The sequence below is a fragment of the Homo sapiens genome, chromosome 7 (genome assembly GCF_000001405.40).
Source record: "Homo sapiens chromosome 7, GRCh38.p14 Primary Assembly".
Lineage (NCBI taxonomy): Eukaryota > Metazoa > Chordata > Mammalia > Primates > Hominidae > Homo > Homo sapiens.
The window spans coordinates 7686806-7702020 of NC_000007.14; the positions used below are offsets into that span (position 1 = coordinate 7686806).

The 15215-nt window shown below is 36.6% G+C and overlaps 2 protein-coding genes across 4 annotated transcripts in view; one reads left to right on the top strand and one right to left on the bottom strand.

Moving 5' to 3' along the window:
- Positions 1–15215, bottom strand: part of RPA3 (replication protein A3) — an 82090-nt gene that overhangs the window by 50288 nt on the left and 16587 nt on the right. Inside the window, exon 3 of the mRNA NM_002947.5 lies at positions 423–523. The gene's annotated coding sequence lies outside the window, so the exon portion shown is untranslated. The remainder of the gene's footprint in view (positions 1–422; positions 524–15215) is intronic.
- The window catches only part of UMAD1 (UBAP1-MVB12-associated (UMA) domain containing 1), a 238472-nt gene that overhangs the window by 46054 nt on the left and 177203 nt on the right, over positions 1–15215 (top strand). The gene's annotated exons all lie outside the window — the stretch shown is intronic.

The window sequence follows — 15215 nt, forward strand, 5'->3', positions numbered from 1 at the left end:
AATGGGATATAAGAAGAAATGTTGTGTTGCAGATTCTAGGAAATCTTTTAAAAACACACTGCTGTGTACCTTCCTTACTCCTCTCCCCTGCCCCCACTTCCCTTATCCTGGAATGTGGATATGATGATTATGTAGAATTCTAGCCAGCATCTAAGACCATGAGAACTAGGGTACGTTGTAAGGATAGCTGAAGAGTGAAGTCAAAGAGTTGTGAAGTTGCCATACCAGTCCTTTGAACTTTCCTTTGAACTTCCTTTATGTGAGACACAAAGTTCTGTTCTGTTTGAGCAACTATTTTATTATGTGATTTGCGGATGAACCAAGCCCTAAGTAATACAGGTACTGAACTGGAAATAATAGTATTTGGATTCTATTTAAGTTCTGTCATTTACTTGCTGTGTGATTTTGAGCAGGCTACTTACCATTTCAGCCTCATTTTCCTTTTGTGTGAAATGTTAATGATATCATGGTGTCTTCATTACATTGTTGCAGGAGATGAAGCAAAAGGAAACTGTACACAGATCTGCACTGACAAAAGGGAGTACAAAGAACTTGTAATTCTTTTGCTGACCCTGGGCAGTTCAGTGAAATGCTTGGGAGAATGATTCTGAGGTAGCACTTAGTTTAGCTGGAGAGAATTTGGGGATCACTAATGATGTATGTTGTAGGCAAAGGAATGGTGTGCACCCTGCCAGGGCCACATATAGGCCTTCCCTCAACTCAGACTGGAAGGCCGATCTATGCTTATATGATCAGTCCACCAGAAAGTCTATTCACACCCACTAAAAGCTGAAGTGTTTAAAGTGTGCATTAACTAGCAGAACATTATTAAAGAGAATTGCTGCCAAACTCTGGTTGTCAGTTAAATTTGAAAAGGATTCACTTCCTACAACCGGTATTTCCATCAAAAATGATATGTACTTTTATGACTATACATACACACACATATTTTTAATGATAAGTATTAAATACATGATATTCAAGGTTTACACTATAGTGTTACTGATTTAAAGGAGTAATTGCTCTGAAAATTTTAAGTATTCTAAGTCAAATAACTAAGCTGTAAATTTATGGAACGACTTATTTTTATTTCTGGCATCCATCATTTCCTGATGCACCAGCTGAAAATATGCTTGGCAGCACCAAAGGAAAACTGTAACCCCTGAAATAGCTTGTTGATGGATGGCTTGAAGAAGTTGATAACTGAGATAAGCAGCCATTGTCCCTGTTGCTGTTGCTATGTTAGGGGTTCTTAACCCATGTTGAGTTTGGAGGGCTGCATGCAGTGGTCTGGAAACTTCTGACACTACATGTAAAATTTTAGGTTTGTATTTTTGGGGGGAGAACATTCCCTGCATTACATCAGATTCTCAAAGATCTGTAACCCCCAAAATATTAAGAATTACTTTTTTAGATGTTGCTTTGGTTTACTAGCTCCTTGGGCTGTGATTTCTTAGGATATTTTTATCTTAATGGTAAAGGTGGGAGAGTTGTTGTCAGGTGGGGCATATCTCATTGGGTACCTTTACTAGTTTGGCGTCAGAAAGTAGAATGTGAGAACCTTTTTACTTGTTATCTTAAAAAGGAAAACTTACTTATAATTAGTAGTGATTATTTGCTCATGGTTTGCCTTTTCACTGATTATCCGAATCCAAGGTGTTTTTCTGCTGCCTTGCCCTCAGCCCCGTGTTTCCTCATGCAGAGTGCCCAGCTTGTTTCATTTTGTCTGTGTCGTGTTCAGTGTCAAGATCTCAGATGAAATCTGTCTCGAGGCTTCCTCAGTTTCTAGATAGCTCTCTTTTTGATCTCATGTTGTAAATCTTCTATCATTTATTTGCTTCTTAATCACATGGTATTTTGTAGCAGCTCCTATATTATTGTTTTGTAATGTTATTTACGCCTTTATTTTTGTATGTCTTGCCAATTATGTTGTAACCTCCTAAAGGACATCTAACCCGCTGCGTATTTTATAAAATTGTAAGCACATGACTATCAAAAAGCTGATCCTCAGTCTGTATATTGTTAATAGCTTTTGTAATGACTTGTAAACCATTTAATATTTGGTTAGAAAACTTGGTAATATCTTCTATTAAGGTATTTTCTCCAATGAAAATAAGTCTTTGTTAACTTATCTATTACTTGGATTTAAATTATACTTACTTTATTTAGTTATATAAATGCAAATTAGTAAGCATTCAGACTAAGCCTGCCTTACTCTGGGGAGGAGGGGCTTCCTTTACTTCCCTACCTCTGCTTGACCATGCGTTTTAGGAGAGCCAACCTTATTCCCAGCCCCAGAAAGTCAGTGCTCATTTGCCTAAGCCAGTCACGGTAGTCTAATTCACCTTGCCAGTGATTGGCTTAGGAATGGGCACCCATCACATTTCTGACTGCGACATGAAGGAAGATCAACTGAGAGACTCATGGGCAGATACAGACAGAAGAGACTGCCACCTCTTCTCGTGGCAGTTATTTGATCTGGATGAAATGGCTGATGATGTTTTATCTATCATTGCCAACTTTGCTTAGGAGAGCTAGCTTGAGACAGAGGTCACATGTCGAAGATGGCAGAGTAAAAGGAGGAAGCAACCATGATGACATTGTTGAACTGACATATTCACTAATTTGGGAGCTGTTTACCTCTGGACTTTTTAGGTGAGATAATAAATTCCCGCATTAAAGTTTAAGCCACTTTTAGCTAGGTTTATGTTACTTGCAGCTGAAAATGTCTGCACCGATGTTTGACAGATGTGCTTATAATGCTATCTCCCTGGATAATCTTTTCTTGGTAGAGCCCCTGTTTTTCATGCCCAGACTTCATGGAAATGTATTTATATGTATATCTCAGTAAAGCTCTTCAGTCTGTGTCTATATAGAAGACATTTATATTTATGTCTTTCTAAACTCAAAACAATTGGAAATAGTCTGGAGTTCAATTTTAAATGAAATTAATAGATTGTCAGAGTCATAAGTAAACATTTTGAATGGTATACTCACTGCCATCAGAAATGTTGTGCATTTTGGATATTGCTGGTACCAAGGGAGACCATATTACTGCTACAAAGCAGCTAGTGATTAACAACCATAGTAATTGGTGATCAGGAAACAAGTTAAACATGCTCACATAATAGTTTGCTACTTATATATAGGTGTTTTTACTGTGTTTTAGTTATGTCTTAAGAAATTGGTTGAGGGTTTTAGATGATATATTCCACATTGTAATTTTTCCCATCTAAAGTGATGGGAAATAAGCTTGCCATTATATTTTCCCACCCATTTGATTTTCAGGAACGTATTACTGATATTAGGCAGGGATTCCTTTACTAATCTGGACCAGCTATGTTATTAAGTCAGCAATTCTGCTGATGATAATGTAGTCTTTAACTAGCAACTCACCTGTATCCCTCACATATTTTAAATGTTACATATTTGGAAATGTATTTCCAAAACGCTGAAGGCAATAAATGAAACCATAATTTTTTTTTTAAGCATGGAAGTTCAGGAGAAAAATTGAAGTGTATATGTTTCCTTTTACCATCCCAAATTTCTAGTTACAAAATCACTTTATAAAGTTTAAAACCAAGTATATATTATGTTTTTACTGGAGTTGAACATTAATCATGCCCAGTATGTCAGATGTGAAAGAAGAGTTTTAAAGGTAATGAAAAATATTGTATTAATCTTATTTTTAAATGTTTACTTTTTTATTATAAATTGAGCTGCAGTTTTTTAATATTTTGCAATTATAAGGTGGGGGTGATGCCGCACCTAAGTTTTAGAGCTAAAAGGACATCTTAGGGATAATTCTAAACAGCCACATATGTAAATATTTCTGTTTGATAGTTATATATTGAGAATACTTTAATATATCTAAATTCTTTTGTTTTTGCTAAGGAGAGAAAGGAAGGTAAATATAGTATTGAGCTACCTTATATGAGTTGCCAAATTATGGTATGAACCAATTATAGTGAAAGCATTCCCTTCACATATAAATGCTTTTCTAGCCTGTAGGCATCTTTTCATTGCTAAAGTTGGGTTAAATTTTCACCACAGAAATTCAATTATGACTTATACCTGTTATGAAAATATGTAAATACATCAAATATATTTTAATGTTTTAGGTCCAGATATATTTAAATGTTTTTTATCCCCTAAAGGAGTGCAGTTTCTTTCTGCTCCTTCTAGGTCTCCAAAGTTACAGGACCTTGAAGCATGTAGAGCTCAGCATGGTACAAACCTGTATTTTTCAATTTGTGCTCCATGTGACCCTTCCTGGAACTGAGCAGAAGTGTTATGCTGCCAACATTGAATAATGGTGGTCTTTTCACAGTTTGTAGGGGAAAAAAGCTGATGGAATTTTAGGTTTTTCATTCCAAAATTTTCCTTAAATTCTAGAAAGAGCCACCATTAATTTTCAAGCAAGTATTAGGCAGGTAAAATGTATGTATGAGGAAAAAATGGTTATTCAAGGAAAAAAACTTGTAAACAACTGATAATATCTACTTTTATAACTGTTCTTTAGATATTTGTAGTCGTCATCATTATTTTATATTCAATTAAAATAAACCAAACATTAATAGCAATTTAAACTTAGAATTACTAAATACATAATTTCATCTAAAATGATAGTTTGTATGATAGAATTTAAAATATCAGTATTTACTACTGTCCTGCAAAGAGCATTTTGACTTCAAGCCTTGCATGACATTCACTATATGAAGAGATTACATTTCGAAGGAGAAGATGGGAACTCTGCTGCTTATTTTCTTTCTCATCTTACGCATTTCAGATCATTTTGCTGGGGCATAGATTCTCTATCCAGTGACTGAGGAAGTAAATTGGATTTTTATCTCTAAAGTTTTCTTAGAAAGAGCTTTACATTTTAGTGACCCTTTTTTGTTCTATGTATTTAAAGAGACTGACAAATCCCTAATTTATTCTAATCTTTATCGAATTAAAATTTGATGGTATTGAAGTGTTTTCTGATACATGGAGTTCTTTCTCAGGAGGGAAAAAGGTGGTTCACCAGCTGCCAAACAAAAGTCATGAAGATTTTTTAGTTAAAATTTTATCTGGCTAGTAGCTCAGTTTAGCCTTGACTAATCTTGTATTAAAATACTCATGCAAATGTGGAAGGAAAAATTTTATAACTGTTCCAAAACTTAGGAATGACAGTTTAATGCTAGAAACTGAGGTGAAGTTAGATTGAGAAAAAACTAAGCTTCTACACATAGTACAGTATGTTGATAACTGCAGTTATTAACAGCTATTCCTCTTTACCCCTGGGGTTCCATTCTGTAAATGAAACAGAGTACTTCGCCCCCTTTTTCTGCACTCTCGCACACATATCACCATCTTCCCTTACTCTGGAAAGCAGCTAGTCAGCAGGTAGAGAAGGGACTGGTGGTGGTGGTGGTGGAGGGTGATGGGGAGGTATAGTCTAGTCCTCACCAGGAAAATAATGTGGGCAGGAATAGAGACAAAAATTGGTGCTGCTAGTAGTCATGAGGAGAATTATAACTTTTTTCTTGTACTCCTGCAGACCACGTGGTAGAAATAGGAGGAGAAAGACATTCCAAGAGAGAAGAATGACACTGAATGAAAGCCCAGAGAAAATAGGCAAATGGATTGAATGCTATGGGCACCCACCTGCCTCTAAGCTGGTGGAAATTTATATTCATACAGTCTTTGTGGAAGACAAATTGTCAATATGTATCAGAAGCTTTAACAAGGTAGATCGATTCCCTTTGCCTTAGAAATTCCACTTTTAGTAATTTATCATCAAAACACAAGCAAATGCATTTTTTGTTTGTTTGTTTGTTTGAGATGGAGTCTTGCTGTGTTGCCAGGCTGGAGTGCAGTAGCGTGATCTCAGCTCACTGCAACCTCCACCTCCTGGGTTCAAGTGATTCTCCTGCCTCAGCCTCCCGAGTAGTTGGGACTACAGGCCTGCGCCACCATGCCCAGCTAATTTTCGTATTTTTAGTAGAGACGGGGTTCACCATGTTGGTCAGGATGGTCTTGATCTCTTGACCTCGTGATCTGCCTGCCTCGGCTTCCCACAGGGCTGGGATTACAGGCATGAGCCACCGTGCCTGGCCAAAATGTGGCTTTTAAAATGGTATATTTCATGTGAACCTTTTTGTTATGTATATTTTATGTGTCTAAAATAGCTGTAGGAGGAAAAACATTTACCTAAGGACCATATGATTACAGGTAATTTAATCTTTTTTCTTCCTGTTGATTACTTATATCTACTTCATTATTCTGTAATGAACAAGTATTACTTGTATAACTCCAAAGTCAAAAGGAACCCCAAAGGTATATATATGTCCCTGAATTCTTGAATCTCTCAGGGAGCTGTAGTTCTTCTAAAAGCAGAAGTACATTTTACTATTACTACTGAAATTGTACTGTGCTTCTTGTTTCCAGTATACAATTCACCAAACATTTACTAAGTAAATATGAATAGTTACTCTTAAAATATCTTTATCTATCTATCTATCTATCTATCTATCTATCTATCTATCTACATTATTTCGGTAGACTTAAGGCCAATGTATAATATAGGAAAATCTCATCTGAAACTTTCCCTTCATTCTGCAATAGCTTAGTAATGTATAGACTTTCCAAGGGGAAAAGATGTTTTGGGGGAAGAAGTTAACCAAATTTTTATTTGGGTTTCTCTCTCATGTTTTCCTGGATGTCGATAGTTCTTTTATTCTCAAAAGAGCTTCATGAAACTAGAACTTCCAGTGTATCAGGAGGCATCCTTTAAACATTAAGGTCTATTTTAAGGTGAAATTCTACTATATTTTAAAAATTGTTTATTTAAATTCTATAACTTTTAGTGGATTGCACAAATTTATGCCTTGTTTATTTTATAATGACTTTATTACAATTTTAATAATTTAGCAATATTATATGAACGTGAAGTTTTATATCCTTCTTTAAATATTTTGTAAGATGTTTATGTGATATTTTAAGTTTAAACTTATAAACTCTAATCATATTAACACTACTTACCATGAGTGTATGTAATAATTTTTCCTCTGTGGTGGGTTTTTATATTGTTAATAAAGTTATATTTCATATTATCTTAAAATGGCAATTATTAAAAAGAAGAGCTTTCCCTCTGAGGACTGAGATCTCTCTTTTTGTTGCCATTATTGTCAGTTGTTCTGGAATACTAATGCTTTGTTGATATAAGGCAACTGAGTTTTTTTCAACTGAGTCATTAGACACTTGAACAAGAGCAAAGCTTTAGATTTTTCTCCATACCTATAGAGGGGCACTATGAAGTAGTTGGAAATTTGTCTGTGTGAGTCATATTTGAGCATTCCAAAGAAGGAATGAAGCATGTTTTCTTTTTCTCCTCATGACTAGTGATAATTGAGTATCTTTTCTTGTACTTATTGGTAACTTTTTATTTTTAATTTTTATGAGTATATAGTAGGTATATATATTTATGGGTTATATGAGATTTTGATACAGGCATACACATATAATAATCACATCAGGGTAAATGGGATATCCATCACGTCAAGCATTTATCATTTTTTTGTGATACAGGCACTCCAATTGTACCCCCTCAGTTATTCTAAAATGTATAACAAATTATTGCAGACTGTAGTCACCCTGTTGTGCTATCAAATGCCAGATCTTACTTATTGTATCAAACTATGTATTTTTGTACCCATTAACCATCTCCATTCCCCACCCCACCCCCACCACTGTCCTTCCCAGACTCTGGTAACCATCATTCTACTCTCTATCTCTCTGAGTTCAATTATTTTAATTTTTAGTTCCCACAAATGAGTGAGAATATGTGAAGTTTATCTCTCTCTGCCTGACTTATTTCACTTAACATAATATCTTTTTTCCATCTATGTTGTTGTAAATGACAGGATCTCATTCTTCTTTATGGCTGAATAGTACTCCATTGTGCATACGTACCACGTTTTCTTCATCCATTCATCTTTTGATAGATACTTAGGTTGATTCCAAATCTTAGCTATTGTGAATAGTGCTGCAATAAACATGTGAGTACAGCTATATCTTTGTTATCCTGATTTCCTTCCTTTTGGGGATACACCTAGCAGTGGGATTGTTGGATCATACGGTAGTTCTATTTTTAGTTTTTTGAGGAACCTCCCTACTGTTCTCCATAGTGGTTGTACTAATTTACATTCCCACCAACAGTGTTTGAGAGTTCCCCTTTTGCCATATCCTTGCCAGTGTTTGTCATTACCTTTCTTTTGGATAAAAGCCATTTTAACTGGGGTGAGATGATATCTTGTTGTAATTATGATTTGCTTTCTCTGATGATCAGTAATGTTGAGCACCTTTTCATATACCTGTTTGCCATTTGTACGTCTTCTTTTGAGAAGCTCGCTGTTTCCAAGTAGAGAAAATCACTGTTGCTGCCAACCAAGTAGCCGTGCAATAATTTGTTTACTTGCTGTCAACATTTTCCCCACCACAGTTTATCTCATAGAGAATTCTCAAGCCCAGCCAACTTTAAGATTTCATTTGTAACACAGAATGATTATGTTATATTAGATAAGAAAGGCTGTAGAGAGAGAAAAATCTCCTAACCTTGTCTTTCTGTCTTTTCTAGACATAATACGTTGATTTTTTTTACTCTGATTCTGTCCATTTAATTTTTATTACATGTTTCTCAACCATGGTCTTTCCTTGTTACTTTCAGGCATAGAACTTCCTAAATGTTTAGTCTCAGAGCAAGAACACTCAAGCTTTTCATGTTCTTTGGCACTAGCAGCCGTAACACATTGAATTTCTGGCAGTGGAATTTCTACTCACAGGATCTGACCCCTCACACCATGGCCCTGAATTAAAAAAGACATTGCTTCTGAGCATATGCAACTCAGCAAGGATCCTCAACAACTTGTGTCCTATGTAGACCTAGCATCTTTAATATCTATGTATGTTGGGAATTATCTGTCAATGTGTCACCTTTAGGTTCTTTATTTTTCTACATCTGTCTTCTGTGGTCATAAATGCTGATTATAAGTTAAGCAGCAGTGTGCACACTACATCTTATGCACTAATGGTTGGATTTAGTATCCAACCATGGCAGGAGTGTGAAACAGTGAGATGGATCATTGACCTTTGTCTATAGGAGGCTCTTTTAAACCCTACTGTGTATATCTCCGTTTTTTTTTTTTTTTTCTGATAAACTTACCAGTGTAATTTTTTTTTGAGATGGAGTCTCTGTTGCCCAGGCTGGATTACAGTGGTGTGATCACAGCTCACTGCAGCCTCTACCTCCTGGGTTCAAGCGATCCTCCCATTGCAGCCTCCTGAGTAGCTGGGACTACAGGCATGCACCACCATGCCCAGCTAATTTTTTTATTTTTTGTAGAGATGGGGGTTTTGCCATGTTGCCCAGGCTACCAGTGTAATTTGTTTTCTCCTTGAACTCATACAAGACTCACTCTTTTAGCCAAAGTTGGTAAGAATTATTAGGTAGATTAAAAAAAAAAACACCCCAAAACAAATGTGGTCTGATGGTGAAGTATCACGATAAAGACAATTTGTAAAAACTGTGAAATCATATTAGATCTTAGTATAAAATTCTAATTTTCTATAAAAAAATACTTCTTAGAAGTCCTGAGCTTAGCCACTGGAACTGGCCACAAGACCTGATTTGGGAAGAGGTAACCTGTTATATGAATTTAGTTAGTAAAATTGTAGAAATTCAGATGTCATTTGATCCCAGGGAAGTGTATTTCTCCCCAGCTATTAACCAGTGTCAACTGTCTGAAATTTATTGATCCGAAGGCTCTTCCTCATTTGTTGCCAGTAGCTCTCCCTCATACAGAACAAATGACTCACATGCTCAAGCTAAATAAAGCACTCCGTAAAGATTTTTCTGCCTCTAGAACTGCTCAAAGTCAGCTCTCAATAGTGGGCACTGATTCTTGCCAACTGGTTTACCCTTATTAACTCTATAGGTAGGGCCCTGTGAAACCACACTAACATGTAGATGTTCTCTCTTTTTCTTTCTTCTTCTTTTTTTTTTTAAAGGCTGCCCTTTTCAGACATTCCTTCTGAAATCTGTTAAGAATAACATAAGACTAGTCACAGATTTATTGATTTTTCCTGGGCATTTGACTATGTGAAGTGGAACCAGCTATGACCTAAGCTTAGCAAGCTCAGTAAACACCCTCTCTTTGCTCCAAGGTCTGTATAACTTCTGTCTTAGTACACATGCCAAGCAGTCAGCAGGAACGGTCTTGTGGTAGATGAGATGATTTTCAGTCAGGATAAGTCAGATTGTTTTGCTTTTCTTTTTATTTAAAAAATTATTTTTTCACCCTTTAAAGTCTTGATGATCATAATCCACTTCTTGATGGAATGTGTACCTGACACTTTGATACACTTTGCAACAGTCCTGATTGGCTTTCTGAACAGATTCCTTATTATCTAGGAATGATATCTTCTATCTAATTATTTTCCCAAATAACTGCTTAGTGTTTATTGCTTTAATATCAGAATCCTCTATTCTGCCAGACAAGTTGCAGCATTTAATTTGTTTTCTTCTAAAACACCTATGAAACAGATAAATTATCCATTTTATTTCATTTCCTGTAAGTTATTTTCTTAAAACAGGTATCTTATGGGTACATACTGGAAACTTTAAAAAATGGCTAATGTAAAATTCATTTTGAAATATGATTGTGGCTTCCTTTTGTGGCAGTCCTGCTCAAAATTTTCCAAGTATCTCAGGAAGGAAGAAGCACGAATATGTACCTGCTAAAGCCCTTGGGGTGGGCACCTAACTTTAAAGATATTTTTATTTTTTTAAGCTGATATTATCACATTCATGTGACATTGGCACCCAGTGTGTAATAGAGCTGTGGTTATTTTAACATAAAATGCTTTAAATTATGGATCATCAGGTAGTAAACTGGAGGATATGAGATTTACTGTATTTTTTCCTTGTCATTATGCCTCTTTTCACATGGTGCATGTACTCTTGGGTATCCATCTTCCAATTTGAGACGTATAAATCAGAGTTTTTCAGTTGCTTAAATGACTCTCTGTTTGAGACCAGAAGTGTTTTCAGAGGAAAATTTTGATATTCCCTCAGCTCACCTTCATGAGGGCTGTGAAATAAAAACTTTGGGGAGTTGCCTGGATTGGATTCCTTAGCAAGCTGACCCCACTACTCATTTGATTGTTAGAATGTGCATTTCTTTTAATTAGAAATAGAGAATTTCTGCACTTCACGTTCTGGCTAGACAATATGTTATCTGAATCAAATACTTACTAAATGCCCATGAGTTAGACACTGTGCTGACAGGCACTAAGAATAAACAGGTAGTTCTATATCTGATGTGATATTATTTATTTTGAATTGCTATATGCTTCATTAGTGTTTTTGGATGAAATTTAGTAAGATATAGACAGGGCAGATTTATTTCTGTGAGAAGATTGCAAAATATAACAGTTCCCATTCTTGAAGTAACTAGAGAAAATTTTTTTAGTGCTTTTTAAAATAAGGTTTATATAATGGTGCGTTTCCTGCTGCATCTCTGCCATCAATTTCAACCAAACTGGTAGAAGTTTTGATTGAGAAGTAGCTGTAAGTTGACTTTCAGTGTTTTTACAGCTTAGCCTTTTCCTTAGAAGTCACTTCTAGAACCAGATCCACCTGATTTAACAAAATGTGTTTGAGGTTGAATCATTGCAGGCTTTATTCTGTCTAAATGTTTTTTTCTTTTCTTTTTTTTTGTAGTATTTCGTAGAACTGGAGATCCTGTTTAGGCAGTTGATTCCACAGTTTTGACTATCAAGTAACCCAGTTGTAATGTGGGTGCTACAGCCTCAGCTTCTTAAATTTGGTTTGGAGCATCCTTTCAACCTTCTTTCTCCAGCTCTTAATAATTACCTGCTCCACTTCTTTAATGACTATTTAGTGGTAAGGTAAATAGGAATCTTGTCTTAAGATGAATTCATCTCAAAGTGATTTGGAGCCAAAAACCAGACCATGACATTTCTGGCTGTGGATTTCGTTTCCACCAACTCACCCTCTTGTCTTTTTTTTTTTTTTTTTTGAGACAGTCTCACCCTGTTGCCCAGGTCTGATAACAGCTCACTGAAGTCTCGACTTCCCTGGGCTCAGTGATTCTCCCACTTCAGCCCCCCAAGTATCTGGGACTACAGGAGTGCACCATCATGCCCAGTTAATTTTTATATAGTTTGTGTGTGTGTGTGTGGGGGGGGGGTAGATACCAGGTTTGCTATGTTGCCCAGGCTGATCTTTGCCTGCCTTGGCTTCCAAAGTGCTAGCATTATAGGTGTGAGCCACCGTGCCTGGCTGGGTTCCCCCAACTCTCAAGGGGTGCTGAGTTGACTGATTATGGGAATGCCAGAACAGAATTCTGAGAATGCATTTGTGTTTTTCCTTCTTATCAGACTCATTTTAATAATATAACAGATTTAATTTTTAGTTTTCATTGACTCTTTATCCAACTGATTTAAAATTTAAATATATTTATGCTTTAATCACTCATAAACTTGGACCTCAAGTTAAAAATTTAATATCCTTAGTTCCTTAGAATTTTGTAAGAATTTTTGAATTAGAAGTACAATTTTGTTTAGTTTTTACTTACACTAAAATAGGAAAATCATTAAGCTGTTTAAAAATAGTGGCACCAGACTGAACTAAACAGGAGCAGTGGAAAGTTTCACTTTAGAAACTGCTAGAGAACTGAATCCCTAGGGTGGTCCCTGGATGTGATGGTCCAATCTGTAAGGTCATCTTGGAAATAGATTTAGTTCTAAGTTTAGGACCAGAAAAGACTACTTCCTTCCTCCAGGCTTTTCACATTTATCCCTAAAGCTATATTGAGTGAGGGCAGATATATTTTTCAATTCCACAACTGCTGGTGCACCACAACTTGTAAGGTTCTGTAATCTTAGTGCTCATATAATGCCTTACACATATTAAGTTTTTAGTAAATATTTGTTGGGGGAGAATGAGTAGATGAATTGGCATGGTAAGAACTCTAAACTGAGCTCTGGGTTATAAGTAATACTGTTTATATAAGTGGAAATACGTGTTTTGTTTATTCATAGATTATAGCCAGAAAACTACACTTAAAAATAAATTCCTGAAGTGAAAGTAAAAATTAATGTTTTCTTCTCATGAAGTAAGTGTGGTGATACTTACAAGTTATTCAAATATTTAGAGATGCTCAGTAAATAACTACTTCTGTGGAGGGTGTCTTAGTCAGTCTGGGCTCCTTTAACAAAGTGTCATAGATTGGTGGCTTGTAAACAATAGAAATGTATTTCTCAGAGTTCTGGAGACTGGGAAGTCCAAGATCAAGGCATTGGCAAATAGGCAGTCTGGTGAGGGCCTTCTTTCTGTTCATAGATGGCACTTTCTCCCTGCTCCCCACATGTTGGAAGGGTCAGGGTGGCTTTCTGAGGATTATTTTATTCCATTCATGTGTACTTCACCCTCAATACCAAAGTACCTCCCAAAGGTCTCCTAATACCATCACTATGAGGGGTAGGATTTCATTTCATGAATTTTGAGGGAACACAAATATTCAGTGTAGAGAAAACACCTGAAGTCCAAAAATTTATATTAAGAAAAAGTCAGGCTGGGTGCAGTGGCTCATGCCTGTAATCCCAGTTTGTGGGAGGCCAATGTGGGAAGATCGCTTGAGGCCATAAGTTCTAGACCATACTGGGTAACATAGTGAGACCCCCATCTCTACAAAATAAAAACAACAAACAAACAAACAAACAAAAACACCAAAGGGCCGGGCGCGGTGGCTCACGCCTGTAATCCTAGTACTTTGGGAGGCCTAGGTGAGCAGATCACCCAAGGTCAGGAGTTCAAGACCAGCCTGGCCAACATGGCAAAACCCTGTCTCTACTAAAAATATAAAAATTAGCCAGGCATGGTGGTGGGTGCCTGTAATCAAAGCTACTCGGGAGGCTGAGGCAGTAGAATCACTTGAGCCCAGGAAGTGGAGGTTGCAGTGAGCTGAGAATGTGCCACTGAACTCTGGCCTGGGTAACAAGAGCGAGACTCCATCTTAAAAAAAAACAAAATGCCAGGCATGGTGGTGCATACCTGTAGTCCCACCTACATGGAAGACTGAGGCAAGAGAATTGCTTGAGCCCAGGAGTTTGAGGCTACAGTGAGCTATGATCACGGTACTACACTCCAGCATGGGCAACAGAGGGAGACCTTGTCTCTTAAGAAAAAGAAAAAGTCATACAAGTATAATTCACACTTGGATCTCTATCGCCATTTGGTTAATATTCCAGTTGTGTATTAGACATTTAATAAACATGTTCTGTATTCTTGTAGAGGAAGATGTGTGAGGAGGAATGGAATCTATCATACCTATTTAAGGAATGAACTGTATCATTTCCTCTCTAACTGTGGGGCTTAGAGCCCTAAAACCTCATGTAAAGATAAATTTGTGGCTGAGAAAGTTAAAATTTTAAGGGGAAACTAGGTTAGGGGACCTTAAATTGAAGGTATGTGACAGTTTTTGCATTTGCTAGAAGAAAACAAAGCACACTACAGACAATCTATGTGACATTTTATATATCTTAAATTAGTAATACTGGAACTGTCCTGCTCAACTTCATTTGCCATCCGTTGTTTGCTAGAGACTTTCTCAGTGCTCACTCTTACATGCTTGTAAATCTGTGCTGCTTTGTGAAGATGAGAGATGTATGAAGTAGTATTTTTCTGAACCTTCCCCTCTATTTAAATGCTCTGTGTCTGTGCTTTTCTGATTCAGAGTTGACCTTATGGGTCTTGCTTATAAGGTCCTATATTTCATAGTGAAATATGATTAGGAGGCTGATTAGGATGATTAAGAGAATGACAGGGTATTTACTTATGTTTGCCTCCTATCTGTTTATCAGTTCCCCTTCATTCTATTCAGGTTTCTGCAGCTGTGGGTCCTCCCATGGTTATTTCATGACAAGCCATTTACCCATGTCTCGGATGACTGTCTGCCCTCTGAGGATGCCTGGGTGTATTTGCTTTCTTCAGTCTCCATTTATCTTTCCTAATAATTCACTGCAACCATTTCTGCCATCTCTCTGCCATCAGCTATACCTCCCTTTTCTGTTTCTGACCTCTTTTCTCTTCTTAACGAATTTTCCAAATAAGAGTGGCTCATGATTTGTAAAAAGTAGAACTGAAATTC